Here is a 24,212-nt window from a genome sequence, read left to right as displayed (position 1 = left end):
ACAGCAAATAATTTTCAGTGAAGTCAAAATTATTTAGATAAAGTCTTCTCTTCGTGCCCTAGCAGAAAATGTTCAGAAACAAAATGAAATAAAGAGACAAAGGAAAAAAAAAACTGGCAAAGGGTCAGGTTTTGAGAATTGTTTTCAAGAAGTCATTGTATTCAGATTGGTGGAGCAGGCTACTGTAAACCGTAAGTAGGAAATGAGAACCCGTTGTAAGTTGATAAAATGGATGTCTTTTCAACTAAACAGATTGCTATCAGCCTAACAGAGCCAACTCATGTTCCTTTTCGGCCGGTCATTTCCTGTACTAAGTGTCTATAAGAGCCGCCCATTTGGGTGTTTCTCAGGATTATAGGTTTTTAGGTCACGCAGAAACCCTGGGGAACGCCTGAAAAGGCTAAACACAAGCAGTTACATTATGCACAAGCTGGATGACGTGACCCCGCTGCTGCTGTGTGGAGAGGGAGGCTGCTGAACCCGAGCTGGTGTGAGCTTCTCTTGCCGTAAGTCCACGGGTGGCCAGGAGCACGTGTTAGTCTGGTTAAGAGCTCTGCTCAGAAGTAGCCGCTGCAGCTGAAGGTTTTCAGGCGGGCTGAAGGCTGGGCCGCTTCTTCATTCATTTCAGAAACTTGAACAGTGGGCCTTCTACACACGCTGTCTTTGTCAGCCTCAGGCAGTTCCTCCATGGATGAGACACAGGGGCCTCTGGCCATGACTGTCCATCTTCTTGCCAACTCTGGGCACGGCTCCCTTCTGCAGAGGACTCTGGACCAGCTCCTGGATTGCATTTGCCCAGAGGTCCGGCTCTTTCAGGTGTCTGAACGGGCCAGTCCTGTGAAATACTGTGAAAAGTCCCATTCCAAGCGGTCCCGGTTTCCAGGGATGTCCGTGTTGCTCTTCCTGCACGAAAGCCCGGGAGAGGATAGGCTATTTCGCGTCCTGGACTCTCTCCAGCATTCGCCATGGCAGTGCTACCCCACCCAGGACACTCGGGGAAGGCTGTGTCCCTACTTTTTTGCCAATCAGGAGTTCTACAGCCTGGACAGTCAGCTGCCCATCTGGGGGGTGAGGCAGGTGCACTGTGGCTCCGAGATCCTGAGGGTGACGCTGTACTGCAGTTTTGATAACTATGAAGACGCCATCAGACTCTACGAGATGATCCTGCAGAGAGAAGCGACCTTGCAAAAGAGCAATTTTTGTTTCTTCGTGCTCTATGCCTCCAAGAGCTTTGCTCTGCAGCTCTCCCTGAAGCAGCTGCCCCCGGGAATGTCAGTGGACCCCAAAGAGTCTTCGGTGCTGCAGTTTAAGGTTCAAGAGATCGGCCAGTTAGTGCCTCTGCTACCCAATCCATGCATGCCTATCAGCAGCACCAGGTGGCAGACTCAGGACTACGATGGCAACAAGATTCTGCTTCAGGTATTTCTGTTTTGTCTCAGATCTTGTAGAGGCTCATGGAGCTGTGTAATTTTACATCGGAATGGGCCTAAGCTAGTGGTTCTCAGACTTGGTTGCATATTAGCGTCCCTTAGGGTCTTTCATAAATTCCCACCCCAGGGCAGTTTGATCCGAATCTCTGGGAACATCCAGGCCTAGGTAACTTTTTTACAGCTTCTTGGATGACTGTAATCTGTAACAGGGTTGAGAATCACTGATCTCATAAAATCTCATCTGACAGATAAGAAAGTTCAGATTCCATGAATTTGCAGCTGACACAAGTACTTTATAGTAGAATCAGACAGGATTCTACTATAAAGATCAGAATCCTATTAAAGAATCGGCCTCCTTTCTCAGGCTTGCCGTTTAAATGCCCATCAACTATACCCCTATCCTTTGTTTACTCTTTGGGCTCAGGAATGTCACAAGCTCTTCTAATCTGACTTAAGGAAGTTGAAGTCATACTTATGTTTAGATATGGTTTTTTTAATTTTTAATTTTTTTATTTTTTAGAGATGGGAGTCTTCCTCTGTTGCCCAGACTCGAGTGCGGTGGTGCCATCATAGCTCCCTGAGGTCTTCACCTTCTGGGTTCAAGTGATCCTCCTGCCTTAGCCTCCTGATTAGCTGGGACTACAGGCACGTGCCGCCATGTCTGGCTATTTTATTTTATTTCTAGAGACGGGGTCTCACTATGTTGGCCGAGCTTGTTTAGGGATGTTAAGTTTGCAGTACTATTGACTTAATTTTTATTCTTTATTATTATACTTTAAGTTCTGGGGTACATGTGCACAAAGTGCAGGTTTGTTACACAGGTATACATGTGCCATATTGGTTTGTTGCACCCATCAACTCGTATTGACTTAATTTTTAAGCATCTTGCATCACTGTCAAATTTTACCACATACCAAGTTAGATAGAATGCTTTCTTAAAAAAACTTGAAATTAAAGCCTTCCTTTGTAACCATCCTCGAAAACCTAACATAGCATGTGTGTATTTAGTCATGATAGCTGCCGTGCATTGCCTTTCCATGGTATGTGAGCCTGGGCACTTAGTAGCTGTATGACTGTGGGCCTCAGTTTCTTCATTAGCACAATAAAGGCACCCGAGAATTAGCATCTTCCTCTCTCATACTTACTTACAGGAAATGACCTGACACTTATAAAGTACATAATTAAGATAGTGCCAAGAACTCAATTTTAGCTATTATTGTTCATATTATGCCCTATACTAAGGATTCTCTTAAATTGATAATTTTATTTAATACTTATAACAACCTATGAAGTTACTATTTTTCCCATTTTGGAGATAAGAAAACTGAGCTTTCCAGGGGGTCAGTTATTTGCCCAAGATAGGAAGTATCTATCTACCCTCAAAGTTCATGTGGTCAGCCGCTGCAGTCCAGTGTATGTGTGTAAATGTGCAAGCAGGGGGATGAATGTCATGTTCACAGCAAAATATCCTGTGGCTTCTGTCCTTAAGAAATGGTCAGAAGCTCCTTAAGGCCTATTGAATAAAGTAATAAGAGACTACAAGATGAGATGTCTTTCCATTTGGTTAATTTTGTTGTCATCACTTTGACTTGTTAATAAAACATGAATCATATTCCATATTAAATGATTTCTAAATTATTCACCTTCTTGCTCACATAAGGTAGACAGGCACTGTTTCTGTTAGTTGCCTATTATAAAACCCCATAATTTCCAAGGCATCTAAAATTTCTTTCAGTTTTAGCGACTCTCTAGTACTTAAAATCAACCTCATGGTCAAACAAAAATGTAATGTGTGTGTGCAGCAAGGGACATGATTTTAATCATTCCTGTCTTTAAGGCTGACTGACATTTTTGCTATGGAACCACAGTTTAAACAACTTAGTTACTTTGGAAAGTTGAGTCACATTTGGGGAGTGTAGAAGAGTTTTTTGGATAAAGAGAAACTCCATGAATTGTATGAAAAGAGCCCTCTTCCTCTCTGGATTGTCCCAGGAGCCTGGCCACTTCTCAGGTGTGAATGGGGCATCAGCCCCTCACTCTTTTGTTTTTGAGACAGAGTCTCTCTCTGTTGCTCAGGCTGGAGTGCAATGGTGTGATCTCAGCTCACTGCAACCTCTGCCTCCCGGGTTCAAGCAATTCTTGTGCCTCAGCTTTCCCAAGTGGCTGAGACTACAGGTGCCTGCCAACATGCCCAGCTAATTTTTGTATTTTTAGTGGAGATGGGGTTTCACTATGTTGCCCAGGCTGGTCTCAAACATCTGGCCTCAAGTGACCACCTGCCTCAGCCTCCCAAAGTGCTGGGATTATAGGCATGAGCTACCACGCCCAGCTGCCTCTCACTCTTGATAGCCCCCTTGGACATCACCTTTGTCCTGACCTCCAAACCTCAGAGACTTCTGCTTCCTCACTCCAAAACACGCTTTGATCTCCTCTTGTTAAGTCAATGAGTCTAAGCTTTTGCAAACAGAGTGAGAGATCGCCTTCTGGAAAATTCTGCTTCTGGTGTCATATAATAAAAGTGCCTGAGGAAAGTGTGTAAAGGCTCAGCCATAATCCAAAGACAACACATTGTAGCTCCTAGATAGCTTTTGATTCTTTGAATGGAGTGAATTTTTCAGGATAGAAAATTCTTGGGCGTGGTGGCTCAGGCCTGTAATACTAGCACTTTGGGAGGCTGAGGCAGGTGGATCACTTGAGGCCAGGAGCTTGAGACCAGCCTGGCCAACATGGTAAATCCCCCTGTCTACTGAAAATACAAAAACTAGCTGGGCATGATGGTGTGCACCCGTAGTCCCAGCTACTCGGGAGGCTGAAGCAGGAGAATCGCTTGAACCAGGGAGGCAGAGGATGCAGTGAGCCGAGATTGTGCCAGTGAACTCCAGCCTAGATGACAGAGCAAGACTCTGTGTATTAGTCTGTTTCACACTGCTGATAAAGACAGGCTGGAGACTGGGAAATTTACAAAAGAAAGAGGTTTAATTGGACTCACAGTTCCACGTGGCTTGGGAAGCCTCACAATCATGCAGAAGGCAAGGAGGAGCAGTCGCATCTTACATGGATGGCGGCAGACAAAGAGAGCTTGTGCAGAAAACTCTTGTTTTTAAAACCATCAGATATTGGGAGACTCATTTACTATGAGTGAATTAATTCACTGTTCACTCATGCCTTAAATAGCACCCCAGTCACCTCTTGAATGCTTTGCTGCTTAAAAATTTCTTCTGCCAGATACCCTAAATCATCTCCCTCAAGTTCAAAGTTCCACAAATCTCTAGGGCAGGGGCAAAATGCCGCCAGTTTCTTTGCTAAAACATAATGAGAGTCACCTTTGTTCCAGTTCCCAATAAGCTCCTCATCTCCATCTAAGACCACCTCAGCCTAGACCTTATTGTTCATATCACTATCAGCATTTTTGTCAAAGTCATTCAACAAATCTCTAGGAAGTTCCAAACTTTCCCACATTTTCCTGTCTTCTGAGCCCTCCAGACTGTTCCAACCTCTGCCTGTTACCCAGTTCCAAAGTCGCTTCCACATTTTCAGGTATCTGTTCAGCAATGCCCCACTCTACTGATACCAATTTACTCTATTAGTTTGTTTTCACGCTGCTGATAAAGACATACCCGAGACTGGGCAATTTACAAAAGAAGAGGTTTAATGAACTCATAGTTCCATGTGGCTGGGGAGGCCTCAAAATCATGGCGGAAGGCAAAGAGGAGCAAGTCACATCTTACATGGATAGCAGTAGGTGGCAAAGAGAGGGCTTGTGCAGAGAACTCTCATCTTTAAAACCATCAGATCTCATGAGACTCATTCTCTATCACGAGAACAGCACAGGAAAGACCCACTCCCATAATTCAATCACCTCCCACTGGGTTCCTCCCACGACACATGGGAATTGTGGCAGTTATAATTCAATATGAAATTTGGGTGAGGACACAGCCAAACCATATCACTCTGTTTCGAAAAGAAGAAAAGAGGAGAGAAGAGAAGAAAAGAAAAGAAAATCCAGCCTAAACTTCCTTGGGTCCTGGGGAGAGGGGCTGGGTAGCGAGTCTGGCTTCTGTAAGTGAGTAGTCCAGGCCTTACACAGTGTGCTCAGGATCCAGATCCCAGCTCTGTTATCACTGTCTTGGCCCTATCCTCAGCCAGGCATCCGCCAGGGTCGCCAGCTGGCTGCTAGCAGCTCTGAGGGTTACATCCTTCATGTGGATTCCAAGTGCCTTGCCCCACCATGGCGCAACAAAATGTCTGGACTTCAGTTAGACCAACTAGGATCAGATTCTCTTCTCTAAATCAATTATTACGTGCAGGAAAGTGAGATTATATGGATCAGTTTAGCCCCGAGGCAAAGGCTCTGGCTTCTACCCCTAGATGCTGTGTGGTGTTCTGTGGGACTTTTAGGGAAGGTTGTGGGTCTCCAGAGAAGATCAGGGCGGAGGAGACAAATACAGAGTGGTCCCAAATGGCTGATGTTCAGCAAAAGTAAGAAAATTATACCTATTAAAGGAAGAACCATAACCACAAACTAACCTCTCTGCAGACCATCCCTCCACATGGCCAGGATGGAGGCGTGTGTGCAGAAGACCTGAGTGTGAGGGGAGCTAGGCCGAGGAGGGGCAGTGAGAAAGCTTTCCTGAGTAGCAATGCCCAGATCTGCGTGAGCTGGGTGGCCCAGGAGGAATTAGCCAGTTGGAGAAGGGAGCAAGGGTGTCTCAAACAGGTGACCGTGGGTGACGATGTTGGTGTGGTGCTGCTTAGCAGGCCATGCTCAGCAAACTTCCTGAGGTTTCATGTGGCTGGAGTGAAGGGAGGGGGAGTCAGGGGAAGAGGATGGGCAGGTGGCCTGAGGCTAGATCAGTGGGAATGTGGTCAGCCACTGGAATGTAAGTACCAAGAGCGGGGGGACTTTTTGGGCTCACTCCTGTGAACCTAGAACCTAAGGTCAGTGTCTGGCACATGGTAGGCAAAAACATCCTTCTACAAATGAACCCTGGCTAAGTAGCTTCTATTCTATCCTTGGTGAAATGAGCAGTCACTGATGAGTCCTATGAATGGAACTGACATGGATTATTTGTGTTATGAGGGTCAAATGAGAGAATGTACATGGTGGTGCTTGGTAAAGTAGAAGCTCCTGGAGACCATGTAACTGCGGTGCAATTGTGATCTGTGCATGTGAGAGGCTGTCAGCTGTCTCTGCCAGCGCGCCCAGTGAGCAATGCGTTTTCCACATGACCTCTTGCCATTGCAGACAGTCTGATGCCTCTCAGAGTCTAGAATGGGTGGTTTTGATGACAGCGATATGAGCATATCAAATAGATGTTCAGTAAATGAATGTATGAGTACATGAGAAGGCAAGTCCATGTTTATTCATTCCTCAGAACTTTGTTGAGTTCTTGCTCTGGGCCAGACATTGTTTTTCCTTTGGCAGTTTTAATTCTGCTGTCTCAATTCTTAGTGGGTGCAAAATGATAGTGGGTTCAACCTTCCCTTTATTCGTTCAAACAGTCCCTCTGCTTTTCTCCCTGTGCTTTTGCCTCTGGTGGTAGTGACAGTGTCAGTGTGTTCTGGGGGAAGGTAGCATGGGTGATGATGTCCGCCTCTTTTTTTAAACCTCCTGCAACTTAAACTGTGCCCTCAGTCAAATTAGCTATTTTGTCAAATCAACCACATGCTGCAGTATCTCTAGTCAACTACTGCTGGCTTTCAGCTTTCCACAGCTGAGACCCGTGTCCAAAGTTGTATTTTTTGTACTTTTTATAGATTTTTTTTCAATTTTTTGCATTATGGCTCTTCTCCCCTGATTCACCTGCTGATGCATTCATCTCCTGCCCTCCTCCTGGCAGGGGCAATCCAAGGGTAGAGTCCATGACTTTGGTGTCAGGCTCTGGCAGACTCTAAATTCCAGGTCACTGAGTTAGCATTGGTGATCTTCTCATTCTGTTTGATGTACAGTAGGCAAACTTTATAAATTAAATGATAAACCTCCCTCAAAGCCACTTGAAACGCTCAGCAAGGTCTATATTTCATGGCCCTGTGGGAGATGTGACAGCCATGATCTTGTTAGCCTTTGGGTGGGTGTTCTGTGTGGTATCACACTGCCCTGGTGGTCTAATGAGGAGCTGGACCCTCCTGCAAGCGCCTGCAGTACCAGGCAGCCTGCAGGAAATGCACTGTAGAGCTGCAGCCACCCACCTTGTGTGTAGGGAAGGAGAAGGTGAAATTGACTGAGGATGTCAAGTAACATGGAGGAAGTGTGACTTGGGGGATTGACTGAATGGGCTGTAGCAAAGTATAGGGCTGGAGAGTTCAAAGGAGTTTAGAGAATTTTTTGTGCACTGAAAATGGGTGCAGGAGGACACAAAATGGGATTTGAAGAAATCCATTTATTACGGTGTTTAGAGAAGGGGCAGACATGCTCATACCTATAATATATAATTTAGGACCATAATCCTGTTAGCATCAAATAGGACAGGTTGGAAGGGGGCTTGACTGACCACTTCAGAGGGGACTTCAGTTTTCCAGTCAAAGCCGGTGCAGTTTTGAAATAGGGAACTCATAATGGAAATAGGAGGTTAAATTGCATGGGTAGACTTGACTGAATTTGGCAGTAATTGGACATGGAGGGTGAAGAAGAGGAAGGTGATGATGAGTCTGGACACATTGGGCTTGAAGTGCTTGCAGGTCTTTCAAATGAAGAGATTCCATGGTCAGGTGGTCTCTGAGGGCTGGAACTCAGGAGGGGGCATGGGCTAGGGGCATAGGTGGAGTTGGTGGCTGAAGCCCTGGAAAGGATCAACATTACCAAGGAAGAGAGTGTAGAGAGAGAAGAGGTAAAGAGAGTGCCTGGAAAATGCGTGCACTTCCGGAGGAGAGGGAAGAAGAACCAGTGAGAGACGCTGAGAAGAAGCAACCACAAAGCCAGGAGGACGAGGAGATTGTGGTGTCATGGAAGTCAATGTCGCTTGGTGGCTTTCAGTCCCTAAGATGTGGCTTCTCAGGTGTGCTACAGCAGGTCCTTCAGGTTCTGTCCTGGTCTCCTCACTGGGCCCCCAGTTGCTTGTGTGTTGCCATTGCCCCTGGAGAGATCAGCACCTGCTGCAGGCCCTGTGTCCTCCACCAGTAACTGCTGCTACCACCACTCCGGGCTTATGGAACCGTCCCCAAACACTGCTGAGACCAAGCTGTAATTTCAACAAGATCTTTCTGAAGAGTTGAGGACAAAGAGGTGGGGAAAAACCCCCCAAAGAATTCTAGGCCAGAAGAATAACTTACAAGTACTTCTAGATGTCGCTATTCTCAGAGCTCCCAGGCAAGCTATGGCCTTGAGGTCCCTCCCAGGTCTCCTCCAAGTCTTCTTTACCCACTTCTCCTGGAGGTGCTCCAGGCCAAACTCACACAGTGAAGGAGGATGGTTTTCTCCCTTCTCTCTGAGGTCCACCTTCCAGGTCTTCTTTCCTTGATAAGGGTGACTGCTTCCCAAGTTGACTAAATGGGAAAGGTCACACACACCTCGCCTCCCACCACCATTGTTTGATGTTCAGTAGGAAAACTTTATAAATTACAAGATAAAACCTCCCTGGAAGCTAGAGAGGTTTTAGAATAGGGTGGTGTCCTATTCTTGCAACCTGGGCAGGACAGATAAGTAACAGAACAAGAGTACAACATCAGTACAGTCTGGGGTGTACCATCTCAACAACACATGTTGGTTGCCGGCCATCCATTCTGGAGGCTTTTCCTGACTTAATCATAGGGATGAGCTGAAACTCATGCCTGTGTATCCTTCTTGCAGTCCTGGGGCCTCACCTCTGGATCTCCTGCAATCAGCACCTGAGCTAGAATCCACATAACTCTCCAAGACAGCCATGTGGGAGAAAGTCATGTGATTTTGAAAGATTTGGTTTCACACATATGCTCTCAATGTAGACCCATTTCTCAACTGAGACCCATTTCTCTAGACGAATGCACTGTCCTCTAGGACTTTCTGTGATGATGAAAATATTCTGTATCTGTGCTATTCGATACGGTGGCCATTCGCCACATGTGGCTACTGAGCATTAGAAATATGGCTGGTGAGACTGATGAACAGAATTATTAATTTTATTATATTTTAACAATTTAAATGGCCTTATGTGGTTGGTGACTGCTGTATTGGACTGCCCTGGCCTAGGTTATTTCTAAGGTCTCCTGCATCTTGAAGCTTCTGTAACTATACTGTGTATAGCCTCGTTGGTGACAAAACTTTATCTCTTATCTCATCTGTTGTTTTTTTTTTTTGAGACAGAGTCTTGGTCTGTTGCCCAGACTGAAGTGCAGTAGTGTGATCTCGGCTCATTGCAACCTCCCTCTCCCAGGCTCAAGCTATCCTCCTGCCTCAGTCTCTGGAGTAGCTGGGACTACAGATGTGCACCATCATGCCCGGCTAATTTTTGTATTTTTTGTAGAGACCGGGTTTTGCCATGTTGCCCAGGCTGGTCTCAAACTCCTGAGCTTAAGTGATCAGCCAGCCTCAGCATCCTAAAGTGCTGGGATTACAGGCATGAGCCACCATGCCTGGCCTATCTCATCTTTTTTCTTTGCTTTTTTAGAGAGAGGGTCTGATCCTGTCACCCAGGTTGGAGCATTAGTGGCATGATCATAGCTCACTGCAGCTTTAAACTCTTGGGTTCTAGTGATCTTCTCATTTCAGCCTCCTGAGTAGCTGAAACTCTAGGCGTGCATTACCATGCCTGGATAAGTTTTTAATGTTTTGTAGAGATGGGAGTCTTGCTATGTTGCCCAGTCTGAACTTGAACTCCTGGTCTCAAGGAATCTTCCTGCCTTGGCCTCAAAGTACTGTGATAACAGGCATGTGAGCCACCGTGCCAGCGCCAAATCCTCATCTCTTAAGGGTAGAATTCAGTTCAATTTTTGGAAACAATCAAAAGATATTTAGCATTAATTGTATTGAGTATGGTACATAGTTGAAGAGATTTTAATATTATATTTTAAGATTACAACATATGTTACCTCCCTGTACTGAGACTATACTGACTCTCAAAGTCAGATTGCTAAAAAAAGTTCCAAAAATATTTGACACAATTATCAATCTTTTAAGTGCCTGTATAGCTTTTCGTAATCTACCTAAGGACAACAGATAATCTAATAATATGATATTATATGTAACATTTAATGAACATTTATATGCCAGCCACTGTGTTGTGTTGTTTCGTTATAAATATCTCCACTTTAAAGATAGGAAATTGAGGTTTAGAAAGTTTAAACAACTTGCCTATAGTCACCCGGGAAGCAAGGATAAAGTCAAGTTTCAAACTCAGGTCTCTCTGTCTCCAAAGTTCAAGCTTTTAACTCTTAAACAATTTTTGTTTTCTTTTAAAAAGAATATTTGTTAATATATAGTGTTTTGATTTCCATTACAGTTTTAAAGAATATAGCACATAGAATTGATTGTTTAAAACAAGATAATTCAGCCTGTTTTAGATAATATACTTCTTTCATTTCTAACACTGTAGCGAAACTTGATACTTTTTCCTCTTACCAAGTTTAATGACAGTTTCGCTGATGGCACTTTCCGTTTCATATCTTAGCAAGATTTTAATAAGAGTAACCTACTGGATAAGGTTGCAAACAGAGTTTTTTAAAATTGCAAGATTACCAACGAACGTTTCTTTCTTTTTTTTTTTTTTTTTTGAGACAAGAGTCTTGCTCTGTCACCTGGACTGGAGTGCAGTGGTGTGATCTCAGCTCATTGCAACCTCCGCCTCCCGGGTTCAAGCTATTCTCCTGCCCCAGCCTCCCCAGTAGCTGGAACTATAGGTGTGCGGCACCATGCCCAGCTAATTTTCGTATTTTTAGTAGAGATGGAGTTTCACCATCTTGGCCAGGCTCGTCTCAAACTCCTGACCTCGTGATCCACCCACTTTGGCCTCCCAAAGTGCTAGGATTACAGGCATGAGCCACCGCACCCTGCCAAGTGTTTCTTTTTCATTAGAGACTCTTTTCCAGCTTCTAATTAAAAATAAGTTTGTTGGCCGGGCGCGGTGGCTCATGCCTGTAATCCCAGCACTTTGGGAGGCCGAGGTGGGTGGATCACGAGGTCAGGAGATCGCGACCATCCTGGCTAACACGGTGAAACCCCGTCTCTACTACAAAAATACAAAAAAATTAGCCGGGCGTGGTGGTGGGCGCCTGTAGTCCCAGCTACTCGGGAGGCTGAGGCAGGAGAATGGCGTGAACCCGGGAGGTGGAGGTTGCAGTGGGCCGAGATCGCGCCACTGCACTCCAGCCTGGGCGACTGAGAGAGACTCTGTCTTAAAAAACAAACAAACAAAAAAAAAAGTTTGTTGACAAGTATTGGGGGAATCTTTCCTCCAAGTGATTTAATTGGTAAATGTCTGAGCGGTGTATGTTCACGCCCGCTGGTGGGATTCCTTCCTATGAGGTTTCCCTTCTCTGTGGGCCTTGCTGTCCCATTTGTTTGCTCACTCGATGAGCTCACGGCATTTTCAGTCTCTTTTCTGTTACCAGAGGCCCTCGTCATCTCCTTCAAACTCAACCAAGCAGATTTTCCTTGGCTCGATGGCTCTGGTATCTTGCCGTCTTTCTATGCCTGGCTTCTCAGTTGAGCTGTCTGTTTTTGCCGCCTTTAGCCACAAACTGATGGTGCTTCTCCCCCTGCCATTCTGCACCCTGAGTCTTCCCCTAGGAGTTGATTAATCCACTCTCTGGAGGGCCAGCAGTGCTTGAGGATAAGACATCAGCAGCATTGGTACACGTGGGCCACTCCTGCCTTCTTGAAATCCTCTCCTCTGTGGGCCGTCATAACCCAGTTCTTTTAATTAAGGGGTTCATTCTCTCTGACTATTCCTTTTCTGTGTGTGTGTGTGTGTGTGTGTGTGTGTGTGTGTGTGTGTGTGTATTTCAAAGACTCAACTGTTTTTTCCTCTCTCTAAATCATGTTTTCTCAACCTTGGCACTGTTGACATATTTTGGATGAGATAATTCTTTGTTGTGGGGGGTGTCCTGTACATTGCAGAATGTTTAGTGGCAGCCCTGATCTCTATCAGTTGGATGTCAGTAACACTGGCCCACTCACCCCCGAGTTGTGACAACCAAAAATATTTCTAGACTTTGCCAAATGTCCCTTGGGAGACAAAAATCACCCCAAATGAGGACCACTGCCCTGCACCGAAGATTTCCCCACTGAGGTTACGAAATAAAAATCACCTTGTGGGGTTGGTTATCACTTTTGTTCAACTTAATCCTGTACTTGAATTTCCTCTATCTCTTGAGGTTTTAGCCTCTTTCCTACTCCCTATAAGACCATTTAAACATGATGTCTCATCCCCATCCCAGACTCAATCCAGGCAAAACCAAGTCATCATCTGCAGCCCTCCTCTCCCCGCCCCCGACTTCTCCAGCTCCGTTCATTCTTCTCCCAGTTGCCCAGGTTTTGAAATACCAGTTGTTTTTAAAGCCTCCTTTTTTCTCAGAACCCCCACATCCAATCAGTCCCCAGCTGTTCTAATTTTCCTTGGGAGTCATTTCTGCTTCCTGCCTTCCTGCTTTAAGCCCACATTGCTTCAAACGCACATTATTATTACAGCATTATAATGCCTTCACCCTGGCTCCAGGCATTCTGTTTCATCCTGCACAGTGCTATCAAAATACATTTTTAAATGACTGCCAAATTTATGTTCCGTCTCAGTTCAATAACAAAAGGTGAGAAAATCAAATTAAAATGCCCCTGCCTGGCTTTAAAGACCTTCACATCAGACCCCTACTAGAATCTCCCTTTGCAGGCCAGTTGTGGTGGCTCATGCCTGTAATCCCAGCACTTTGGGAGGCCGAGGCAGGCGGATCACTTGAGGCCAGCAGTTTGAGACCAGCCTGGCCAACATGGTAAAACCCCATCTCTACTAAAAATATAAACATTAGCTGGGTGTGGTGGCGCCTGCCTGTAATCCCAGCTACACGGGAGGCTGAGGCAGAGAATTGGTTGAGCCTGGGAGGTGGAGGCTGCAGTAAGCTGAGATCGTGCCACAGCACTCCAGCCTGGGCAACAGAGCGAGACTCCGTCTCAAAAATAATAAAAAAAAGAATCTCCCTTTGCCGCCTCACTTCTTCACCATCCCAGCCTTCTTACCCTCCTCTTCCCTCCAGAGCTCTGGGCTCACTCCCACACCTTTGCTTTCTATATTTTATGTATTGTGGCAAAATATGTGAGACAAAAACTTACCATTTTCACCTTTTAAAAAAAATTTAGGAAGGCTTCTTTCTTTAAAAAAATTGTGGTAAAATACACATAACAATACATTTACCATCTTAACTATTTTTCGAGGGTACGATTCAGTGGCATTAAGCACATTCACAGTATTGTGAGACCATCACCACTATACATTTCCAGAACTTTCTTGTCATCCCAAACAGAAACTCTGTACCCATTAAATCAAACTCACCGTTGTCCCCTGCCCTTGGTAACCTCGATTCTACTTTCTGTCTCTATGAGTTTGCCTATTCTTGGTACCTCATATAAATGAAATCATACAATATTTGTCTCTTTGTGTTTGACTTCACTTACCATGATGTTTTCAAGGTTAATCAGTGCTGTAGCATTTATTACAATTTCATTTACTTTTATGGCTGATTACTATTCCACGGTATGTTTATCTGTATCCATGCATTGCCTGAACTATTCCTTATCCAAGGATGCCTTTCATTTAATCTTCAATTATCCAATTTTAAGGCTCTGATCAAATTCCACTTCCTCTTTGAAACCTCCCATGAAGCTCAAGGGCACATTAATTCCCATTCCTAACTAGAACATTTCATACCTAAATCTTTGTAACACGTAACTGATTATATATTTTCCCGTTCTTGTATTTTATAATGTGGGACTTTATGAATCTGCTTCTCTTTTCAGTATTTTATTACACATGTTTATTTCCAGTTGAGTACTTGGCAGATAGCTGCTTCTGAAATACTTGTTGATTGACTGACTACCTGTTTTCAGGAAATAAGATTATCTCTTAAAGAAGGTATATACAGAAACTGGTTTGGCATAAGCAAGCATGTGTTTCATTTTGTTTTATCAACAGATATTTAGCTATGTTTGTTTCTTTTTCTTTATTAGCCATTTAAAATAAAAGAACATAGTGGCTCTGCAAGTAAGTAATTTATGTTCTTCTTCTCTAGCATTTCTTGAGGGCTCCATGTTCTCCTTTCTGAGTCTCTCAGCTGTACACTCTCAGGATCTATGAACTCCCTCTTAGTGTCTCTCATTCCCCTCCCATTCTCCAGCTCCACCCCCATCATACCCCACCCCCAACACACACACACTCCCACTTCTACACCCTCGCTCAATACTTTATGTTGCTGTGAAAGAGGCATTGCTCAGAGGGTCCTGCTATTATAGGAGAGCATGTTGCCATTGGTGGTTTTGGCCAATTGATGAAAATAAGTACCTTTCAAAGGATCAGTTAATTGCAAAAGTCTGGTTTCAACTCTTAAGTGAGCCTGGCACTGTTTAGAGGTTTCTTATTATTTACCTAAATTGTTTCCATGCAGTCATTTTTTTTCCCCAGTGTTGAAGAAATTCTCTCTTGCTATCTTCTTGGAATCACTTACAGAGAGAAACATTATTTTCCCTTCATGATACTAGTCTGCCCCTTAACAGCTTAATCATTTTTCAATGATGTATATTTTCACTTGATTTTCAAGAGTTCAGAGTTATAAATGAGTGACCATCTTCCTGTTAATCACGTAATGCTGATGTTCCTTGAACTTGAAAAACCTAGCTCTCAATCTATAACATTTTACAAATATTTCTTAGAAAGATGATCTCAAAATGATCAGAATTCCTACAAATGCATTTCAATTTGTTTTTCGGCAAGAGCTTAATTCTCCCTGAAGGGATTCATCTCAATCACTCAGCATTATGTTTCTCCTGGAAATTCTTCATTCCAATGCCAAACATCTGCATTTCTATGTTAATAACCTTACACTCACTTTTGCCCTCTGCTTTAAGGATCTTAGACTTCTCTTTAAAAAAAGTGGACATTCCCCTCTCTTAAGAAGATTGCACAAATGTCTAGCCATAGTAATAAAAATCATTAGGAATTTTCTTAAGACTTTATGTCCACCTAATGTAAAATAATTTGGGGCCTAGTTTATAGGTGCTACATTCTCATTCATTTCTATGTGCAAAAATTCATATTTTGTTAAGCATTAAGCTTTATTTATTTATTTATATAGCAGATATTTAGTGATTACTTATTGAATGTTAGGCACTGTGCTAGGCACTGGACATACGATAACAAAGAAGGTGTATATAAGCCTGCTATTCCAGATTGCAAACTCTGTGGGAAGATACAGAGGAGTAAATAGCCAAGTACAAAATGGCATGGCGAGTACTCAGATACGAGAAGTTCAGACTGCGCTGTGAGAGCTAGTAATAATACTAATGACGATGATAATAACAAACACATGCAAGGCACGACTATCATTTAATCTTCACAGCAACTCTATGATGTTAGCACTTATTTATCTTCTTTTCCATATAAGGAAACTGAGGGACAGAAATATTAAGTAAGTGGTCTAAAATCCTACTGCTAATAAGTGGCAGAGTTGATATTTAGTGACACCTAAATCAGATTAGTGACATTGAGAAGGCTTCCTTCTCAATGCTGTGTAAGCTTGGAGCTAACAATGAGAGGAAGTTTCAGGAAAAAGGGCTAGAGGATGCACATCCCACACAGAAGAAATAATATATATGAACCCTGGCATAGGAAAGGGAAAATCATGTTCCATTTCAGCATGTGGAGGCTGAAAGGGAGAAAGTGGTGAATTACCAGCGTGGTATAAGAAGAGGCAGACAGTAAAGGGTGAGGCAGGCCACATCCAAGGGCTTAGATTTTATCTTAAGAAGAGTAGGGCATCATTGAAGCAGGACGATGGTGTGGTGATCCAAGGGCTTAGATTTTATCTTAAGAAGAGTAGGGCGTCACTGAAGCAGGACGATGGTGTGGTGTGATCCAATCCTCTGGCAGGGGAGTGGAGAATGGATTTGTGGGAGGTGACAGCATATGTGGGGACTTCCATTGGATGGCTATTGCTGTAATTCAGACAAGAGGTGATGATGGCCTGCTCCAGGGTGAATGACAGTGGGAGCAGAGAGAGTGGAATGTCAGCGATCTATAAGAGGAAGTGTCCATGGGGACGGGTGGATGGTTGTACCCGGGGTATGGAGAAGGGTGACTGATGCTCTTCCTGGGGTCATGTGGGAGCTAATGGTGCCATCTTCTAAGATAGGGAAAAGAGAAAGCAGAACAGACTTGGTGTGAGGAGGGAGATGAGTTCATGGTGCAGATGATTTGGGGCATGTTGTTTTTGAGGGATTGGTGGCTAGAAGGCAGTTGGATAGGTAGATGTGAAGCTTAAGAGACAGATGAAGCTTAAGGGACAGATCTGAGGTGTAGTTACACTTTTGGGAGCCTTCATCATTTAGACGCTAACTGAAGGCCTAGATGCCCCTGAGATTGCCCTGGGGCAGGTAGAGTGAGAAGAAAAGAGGACCCAGGCCAGCTCTGAAGAATGACAACATTAAATAAACCAACAAGGGAAGAGGCTCCCTCAATGGAAACGGAGAAGGGGTGGAGGGAAAGGTAGGAGAAAATCCAGTGGAATTTATTGGCCAAGAAGCTGAAGAAAAAGACTTCAGGATAAAGAGTACAGACTTCAAGGTCAAATTCTACCAAGAGCTCAAGAAATAATGAATGACAGGAGGGCTGATTGTAGATGACCTTGGCAAGAGCAATTTCATTGGAGTGGTAGGAGGGAATTACCAGCGTGGTGTAAGAAGAGGCAGACAGTAAAGGGTGAGGCAGGCCACATCCAAGGACTTAGATTTTATCTTGTCAGTGGCATGGGTAGAGAAAATAAGGGGAGGTTTGTAGAAAAACATAACTACACAAATTTTATATACAGGTTTGACAGTGAAGGGGAGGACAGAGAAACCTGGAGGGAAAGAGAGGGTGGAAAGAATGTGTTTTTCAAGACACGAGACTTGAACAAGTTTAATTGCTGTTGGAAAGGAATAGGCAGAGAGAGAGAAAGAGAAGGAGAGGGAGAGAGATTAAACATCCAAGATAAGAAAGTGGGAAAAATGAATAATTGATAGGTCAGGGTCACCAAGAAGGCGGGAGGTGATGGGAGTCTTGGCCCAGGGACCGGTCACTTTCACCTAGAGAGAATGGTGAAGCTGCAGGTAAGTTTCGCGGTAGCAGTGAGAGTGTTGCTAACTGGTGACAGCATCTGCTTCCTTGATAATCTGGATGGTGAGACCACCTGATGAGAGAGAGTGGGGGCGATGGTGCTGCTGAAGATTTCAGGACAGTTTTGAAGGTTTGAACAGCTGCTGGGTGAATGGAGAGAGGTGACTAAGGAAGCAGGCAGACTGGCGGGTAGCCTGGGAGAGGCCGGAAACCACGCCATCATGGGGCACCCATTTCACAGACCGATGTGTTTCTGTGGCATCCTGAACACATGTTCAGAAAATGTGGGCAGGTAGATGGATGAAAGGTGGGGAGATTTTGTGGGAGTCTGTGACAGAATGGGAATAGTGAGGGGAGTTGGAGGTATTGGTGAAGAAATGGTTGAAGTGATAGTCTTTGGACTCAAATTGACTCTGAAAGGCAGTGTGGATGGGAGGGGCTGACAGGGAGAAGCTGGGGATTGGGAGTGTTGATGTTGAAGAGCAGATGTGATGGGGAATTGAGTGCCGGAGCCCATGGCCTCAGAATGCCTGGCTTAAATAGAATCTTTCAAAGATGGGACATTTGCAGGTGGAGAAGGCCCAGTGGAGGGGCTGTGGGACTGGGTGACAGAGGGGAGTGGAGGGGTGAGCTGGGCTGGCCCAGGAGGGCGCTTCCTGGCTGCCCTGAGATGTCTCGGCACTGGTTGGGGCTTCAGGACCAATTTCATTATGATCTGACATTGATTTAGATGGCAAGGGGCGATTACTCAGGCTTCTCTCTGTGTTCACAGTTGCTAGAGAATGAAATACAAGCCCCAGAGTCAAAGTTATTGATTTCTTTCTCCAGATTGGATAATCTAATATCAACCCTGAACCATTTCTCAGTATGGAAATATCCATGCCAGTTTCCATTTCTAGAAGAAAAAGATGTCATTGGGTCAATTAAAAAGGTACATTATGATACAAGGGTACAGTGTCAAATGATTCTCCAAGAGGCAATGATGGCAGTTGGCCCTTTGAAGGACTAAGGGAGTTTGTTCTCCAGGGGAAGGGAAACCCCAGCTGACATTTCGGAGATAGTATTTTTTCCTCCTGATTTTGAAAGGATAAGCAAATAGTCTTCATTGGAAAGTGAGAATTTGGGGGTGATTTGAGGTTGGGATAGGGAGAAGGCTTTACTTTTTATTTTATACATTTGTACAATGAAATTATTTTTATGGTGATAAATTACTACTTTTATAGTAAGACTTTTTTAAAAAAACAAACAGATGAAAAGGAAAGAAAGGAAAGGAAGGGCAGGAGGAAGGAAGGAGAGAAGGAAGAAAGGAGGGGAGGGAGGGCGGAGCTGTGGAATTAGAGCAAAGGGAAATGTAGAGAGAGATAGCAAAATGAAATTAGGCAAAGAATTTTTCAGAAATATGGAGGAGGAGGTCGGGTGTATGTGATAAGAAACAGACTCACAACGACCGCAAGTTAACTGACTACTCGAAGCCTAGCTTTTCTGGGTCCATGGCAGTAGTTCCGAAACTTCGCTGCACATTAGAATTACTGGGGGAGATTTATCAGCTCTGACAGCCAGGTGTACTCTGACCTGATGAAATCAGGAGGTCATGGGCTGGGAGCAGGCATCATTGTTTTTTAATGATCCCAGGATGTTCCCTTGTGCAGCAAAGTTTGGGAACAGAAATTTCTCCTATGGGTTTGCATAAGGACAGGTCCTTCGGTGCAGTGGGCATCCCTTCAACAGTGTCGCCCCTAGAGAGAGTATCTGATGCTGGTGGAAGCTCTCTTCAACACACTCTGGGGCACTGCACTCAGCTGTGGTTCAGTGCAAGCACATCTGCGATAGGGGTTTCAGGTGTGTGTGGCTCTAATGAACTGGCTTGGCTCAGGGGTAGAATTTAGATATTCTAGAATAGTGGTTTTCAAGCTGGTTCTGTGAAGCCCTGGGGAACTAGAGAGGGGGTCCCGTAGGCAGAGGCTACCCTCTGTACGTCAACCAGGGCTGCGCTAATTAGATTGCTTCATATTTTGGGCTTCCAGGTAAGAAATTGTTTGGAAAAAAACTTCTTAAGATAGAGAGATGGCTCACTCCTGTCATCCAGCATTTTGGGAGGCCAAGGTGGATGGATCACCTTAGGTTGGGAGTTTGAGACCAGCCTGACCAATATGGAGAAACCTCATCTCTACTAAAAATACAAAATTAGCTGGGCGTGGTGGTGCATGCCTGTAACCCTAGCTACTAGGGAGGCTGAGGCAGGAGAATCACTTGAACCTGGCAGGTGGAGGTTGCAGTGAGCTGAGATTGCGCCATTGCACTCCAGATTGGGCAACAAGAGCAAAACTCCATCTCAAAAAAAAAAAAAAAAAAAAAGACAGGGAATCATTGATCTAGAATAGGGCTTGGTCAACTGTGGCCTGAGAACTAAAAATAGTTTTCTATTTTTATATGGTTGGAAAAAAATTCATGACACATAAAAAATATGAGATTCAAATTTCAGTGTTCATACATAGAGTTTTACTGAACACAGCCATTCATTTATATATTGTCTATGGCTGCTCTGCAGCAGAGTTGGATAGTTGGGATAAAGACCATATGGCCGGCAAACCCTCAGATATTTACTGTCTGGCTCCTTGCCGAAAATATTTGCCAACTTCTATTCTAAAAGAATCAGTGGAAGTCCTTGTTTTTTTGTGTGTTTGTTTTTGCAGCTTGGTAATATGCACCTCACCATTTCTATCAGAAAATTGAGATGTACTCTGCGTCATCTATACAAACAAATATGCTCTGTGTGAGTGTGTGTGTGTGTGTATGAGAGAGAGAATTTACTGATTTCTAGACCTGTTTTCTCACTGTCCTCATTTCTGCCTTCTTGCCTTGTAAGATAAATATGTATCATTATTTTTTCTCCCTTGAAATAGACCTTATTTTTTACAGCAGTGGTAGGTTCACAGCAGAATTAAGCAGAAAGAACAGAGAGTTCCCATATACAACCTTCCCCCCGAAAAGAGCCTCCTTTCCTGTCAACATCCTTTATCAGAGTGGTACATGTGTTACAACTGATCAACCTACAACGACACATCACCATCACCCAAAGCCCATAGGGTACATTAGGGTTCATTCTTGGTGTCGTACATTCTGTGGGTTTGGACAAATGTATAAGGATGTGCATCCACCATTACAGTATCATGCAGAGTAGTTTTCACTGCCCTAAAGTCCTCCTGCTCCACTTAGTCATCCCTCCCTCCCCCCAACCCCTGGCAACCACTGATTTTTTTACTGTCTTCATAGTTTTGGTTTTTCCAAAGTGTCATATAGTTGGCATCATATAGTCTCTCTCTGTCACCCAGGCTGGAGTGCAGTGGTGCAGTCATAACTCAATTTAACCTCGAACTCCTGGGCTCGAGGGATCCTCCCTCTTCTGCCTTCTGAATAGCTGGGACTATATGTATGGACCACACGTCTGGCTGATGTTTTTATTTTTTGTAAAGATGGGGTCTTGCTAGTTGCCCAAGCTGGTCTTGAACTCCTGGCCTCAAGTAGTCCTCCCACCTCAGCTTCCCAAAGGGCTAGGATTACAGGCATGAGCCCAGATAGGCTTCTTTCAGTTAGTAGTATTTATTGCAAGTTCTTCCGTATCATTCTTCTTGATATTTGATTAAGGGCTGGGCCAGGTAGGGATGGATCCTGGATACAAATTTCCAAGGGCTGTTATCAAAATGGAAAAAATTGCCTTTTTCCAGAAATCTTCTTGGGAAGAGTGTTGTGCATGGAATAGGATGCAAGGCTCCCAAGGGTGGAAGTCTTAAAGGGGGGTCAGTGAACTCCATCCTGTGGAGGGAGAGTGCAGTCAACTGCAGGGTGAGGGTTTTGCTGAGTGGTGTCTGTAAGTTTGTAACCAGAGTGGAATTGCTAAGGATGAAAACACCTAAACTTCCATATAAGCCATGCCCCCTTTTTGTTTTCTCATGCAATACCAGGCCTCTAATCTAAATAAATGGTGCCCCAAGAATTTAAAGAATATTGCTGCCAAATTATTAGCCGTCTGGAGTGGTCACATGTCTTAGAATGGCCCAAGATATGTATTTTTATTAGCATGATCTAAAAGAAGGATCACCAGCTTTGGAAGATTGAATTCTTACTTCAATCCTTATCTTAACTTTAACCACATGGTTTGGTGGCTTTCTAAATTTCTTTTTTTACATGGTTGCTAATAAATATATCATTTACAACATCCAGTGAGGTCACTGAATGACATCTGTGAATGTCTGCATTGTTTGAACAACTTGCTCTACCAGAAGTGTGGTGTTGTCAATTGGCCATTTGATTCCCAAAGTCTTACCCTTGTCAAAAACTTAATTTAGGGAGTCCCAAAGAGAGGTATTTGGGGCTGGGTCTGATTAGATATCTCATAATTATATTGTACTTATCACTTCTATTCAATTCAACCAAATTTACTGAAAGTCTGCTATGGGCATGGCATGGCAGAGGGTGAATAAGGCATAGTCAGCTCTTGGCACTTAGTTAATGGAAATTATGTTTCATATGTTCCTCCTTTCCTTTCCTGTAGGTTCAGCTGAATCCAGAACTTGGTGTTAAGAATGGCATCTTGGGAGCTGGCATGCTTCCCCTGGGCTCCAGGCTGACTTCTGTCTCTGCAAAGAGGACCTCAGAACCCAGGAGCCAGAGGAACCAGGGCAAGAGGTCCCAGGGGCATTCTCTGGAGCTTCCTGAGCCCAGTGGGAGCCCCACATCAGACAGGTGTGCTGGCACTTCGTGGAAAAGCCCTGGCCGGTCATTCCAGGTCAGCAGCCCAGCTATGGGTGCCCACCTGCACCTGTCTTCTCATCACCTTGAATCCGGGGCCAGAATGAAGGTCCTCAACCGGGAAAACAGCTTTCAGAAGCTTGAGGCCGAGACGAATGTTGACACCGGCTTGACCATCATAAATTCTGAACCCAGGCAGACTTATTTTGGCGGATTTCCAAGGGATTTACAGACCAGCCAGCCACCATTCTGCTTGCCAGCCTCTTCCTTGGGGGTGGCTACCTCCAAAAACAACAGTGTCCTTAAGGAAAGAGTCTCTCCTTTGCCACTTGCTGGCCAAAGGGACCTTGGTACCAGGAAGACAATTTCAGAATGTCTCCTTCATCTGCAAGTTCAGGGTGAAGAAAAAGAAGAAGATGAAGAAGAATTCTTTATATAGCATAAAATAAATGTGGTTTTCTAAAACACAAGATCAGATAAAATGTTCTAGAAATGGAGTACTGACCCAGAATCAGCCTGTTAGTTGTTCATCTGAGGGGGGCTGAATGCTCCCCATGCACAATCTGTATTGATTTTATTTCAAATGTTCAAAGTCTAAAGGTGCTGGGAATGATTGTTTATTTGCCGTCACAGTCATAAGAGAACACAGCCAACACACAGGGAAAAAAACCGAATGCTTTTGTTCCGTGGAGATGCACTAACCCAGCTGGATGTGTTGAATCCAGCACCTATCAGGATAATTGCATTGTATGCAAATGAATCGGTATGTTATACAACACTAATTAGTGTCTGTAATTTGGTTTTAATTTTTACTTAGGTTGCATAGCTCATCCCCCTGGACAATATGGACTGCTATTTACTCTTGAATGCTTTTTAATTTTCATGTGACCTCTTTTGGTAACTAGGCCTTGTTCACATACCCTCCTTGTGATTTTGTCTTTAAAGTTGTTTGTATCTGGAATGAGTGAAAATGCAAAGTGTTTTGAAAATTATAAACAGTTAATTTTGTTTTCCTGTTTAATGAGCCAAAATACTGGAAGCCAGAAAATCAGGTTGAACATGAATGCTAGGCTCTAGGGCTTTCCTGCTCATCTGCTTCTCATTTGTTTCTGCACTATGTCAAAGAGGACAGTGGTTCTTGTTACAAACCAAAGAGGAACATTGAGCACAGTGGGAAAATTGGACTGGTTGATCTGGTCACTGGAGCAGGACTTGGGTTCTTCTGGCCAGATTTTGACTCCCAGATTCCTTTACAAAACGCACTCATTCATTCATTTATATATGTTCATTCAATAAACATTTTTTGAATACCTACATTTGAATAAGACATTGTGTATATGGTACATATACATTCTGGGGCCATGAAACCCAAAAAGTGTTTATGGTTTCACCACTCTGATAAATTCATTCTACCAACTTTTAAAAAGATACTGAATTCCAAATATATTCCTCCAAAAACTTTTTCCACAGTTGAGGCCCACACTGGCCACATAATGGTGTAATAAGCATTTGCAACCTGCAGATGGAGACTGGGCATATTATGAATTGCAATTATAATTGCAATGGACAAATTCTCGTTGCCCATATGCTGAATTTTTTGGATATGTCTGTACACACATGTTTAAAAATCCCGAGGCCTGTGTTTCAGTTCATTTATAAGGTTATTCAATTCCACGAACTTCACTCTCAGAACAGATGTTACATAAGAGTGTAAATGTTGATTTAGCTGGATCTTTTGGAGACTTGGAGACTTACTACACCTAACTGG

At 43.9% G+C, this 24,212-nt stretch overlaps 1 protein-coding gene across 3 annotated transcripts; it reads left to right on the top strand.

Moving 5' to 3' along the window:
* The first annotated feature begins 348 nt into the window (after positions 1–348).
* Positions 349–23,758, top strand: FAM124B (family with sequence similarity 124 member B). 3 transcript variants are annotated; one of them, NM_024785.3, is made up of 3 exons: positions 349–1,419; positions 1,951–2,075; positions 22,248–23,758. In NM_024785.3, exons 1-2 carry the CDS (start codon positions 688–690, stop codon positions 2,035–2,037), a joined length of 819 nt encoding a protein of 272 aa, NP_079061.2. In that variant the 5' UTR covers positions 349–687; the 3' UTR covers positions 2,038–2,075; positions 22,248–23,758. The 3 variants fall into 3 exon arrangements, with proteins under 3 accessions (NP_079061.2, NP_001116251.1, XP_047301844.1); NM_001122779.2 differs by lacking the exon at positions 1,951–2,075; XM_047445888.1 differs by lacking the exon at positions 22,248–23,758 and having other exon boundaries at positions 1,951–2,079.
* Positions 23,759–24,212: the final 454 nt, after the last annotated feature.

The sequence above is a fragment of the Homo sapiens genome, chromosome 2, assembly GCF_000001405.40.
Source record: "Homo sapiens chromosome 2, GRCh38.p14 Primary Assembly".
Classification (NCBI taxonomy): Eukaryota; Metazoa; Chordata; class Mammalia; order Primates; family Hominidae; genus Homo; species Homo sapiens.
This window is presented reverse-complemented; position numbering and strand designations above follow the sequence as displayed.

What these genes read in the sequence shown, in the direction of transcription:
- FAM124B (NM_001122779.2), top strand. Translation starts at nt 688, where the DNA reads ATGGATGAGACACAGGGGCCTCTGGCCATGACTGTCCATCTTCTTGCC. An exon ending in GCAACAAGATTCTGCTTCAG is followed by an intron (nt 1,420 to 22,247) that starts GTATTTCTGTTT and finishes CCTTTCCTGTAG; the next exon opens with GTTCAGCTGAATCCAGAACT.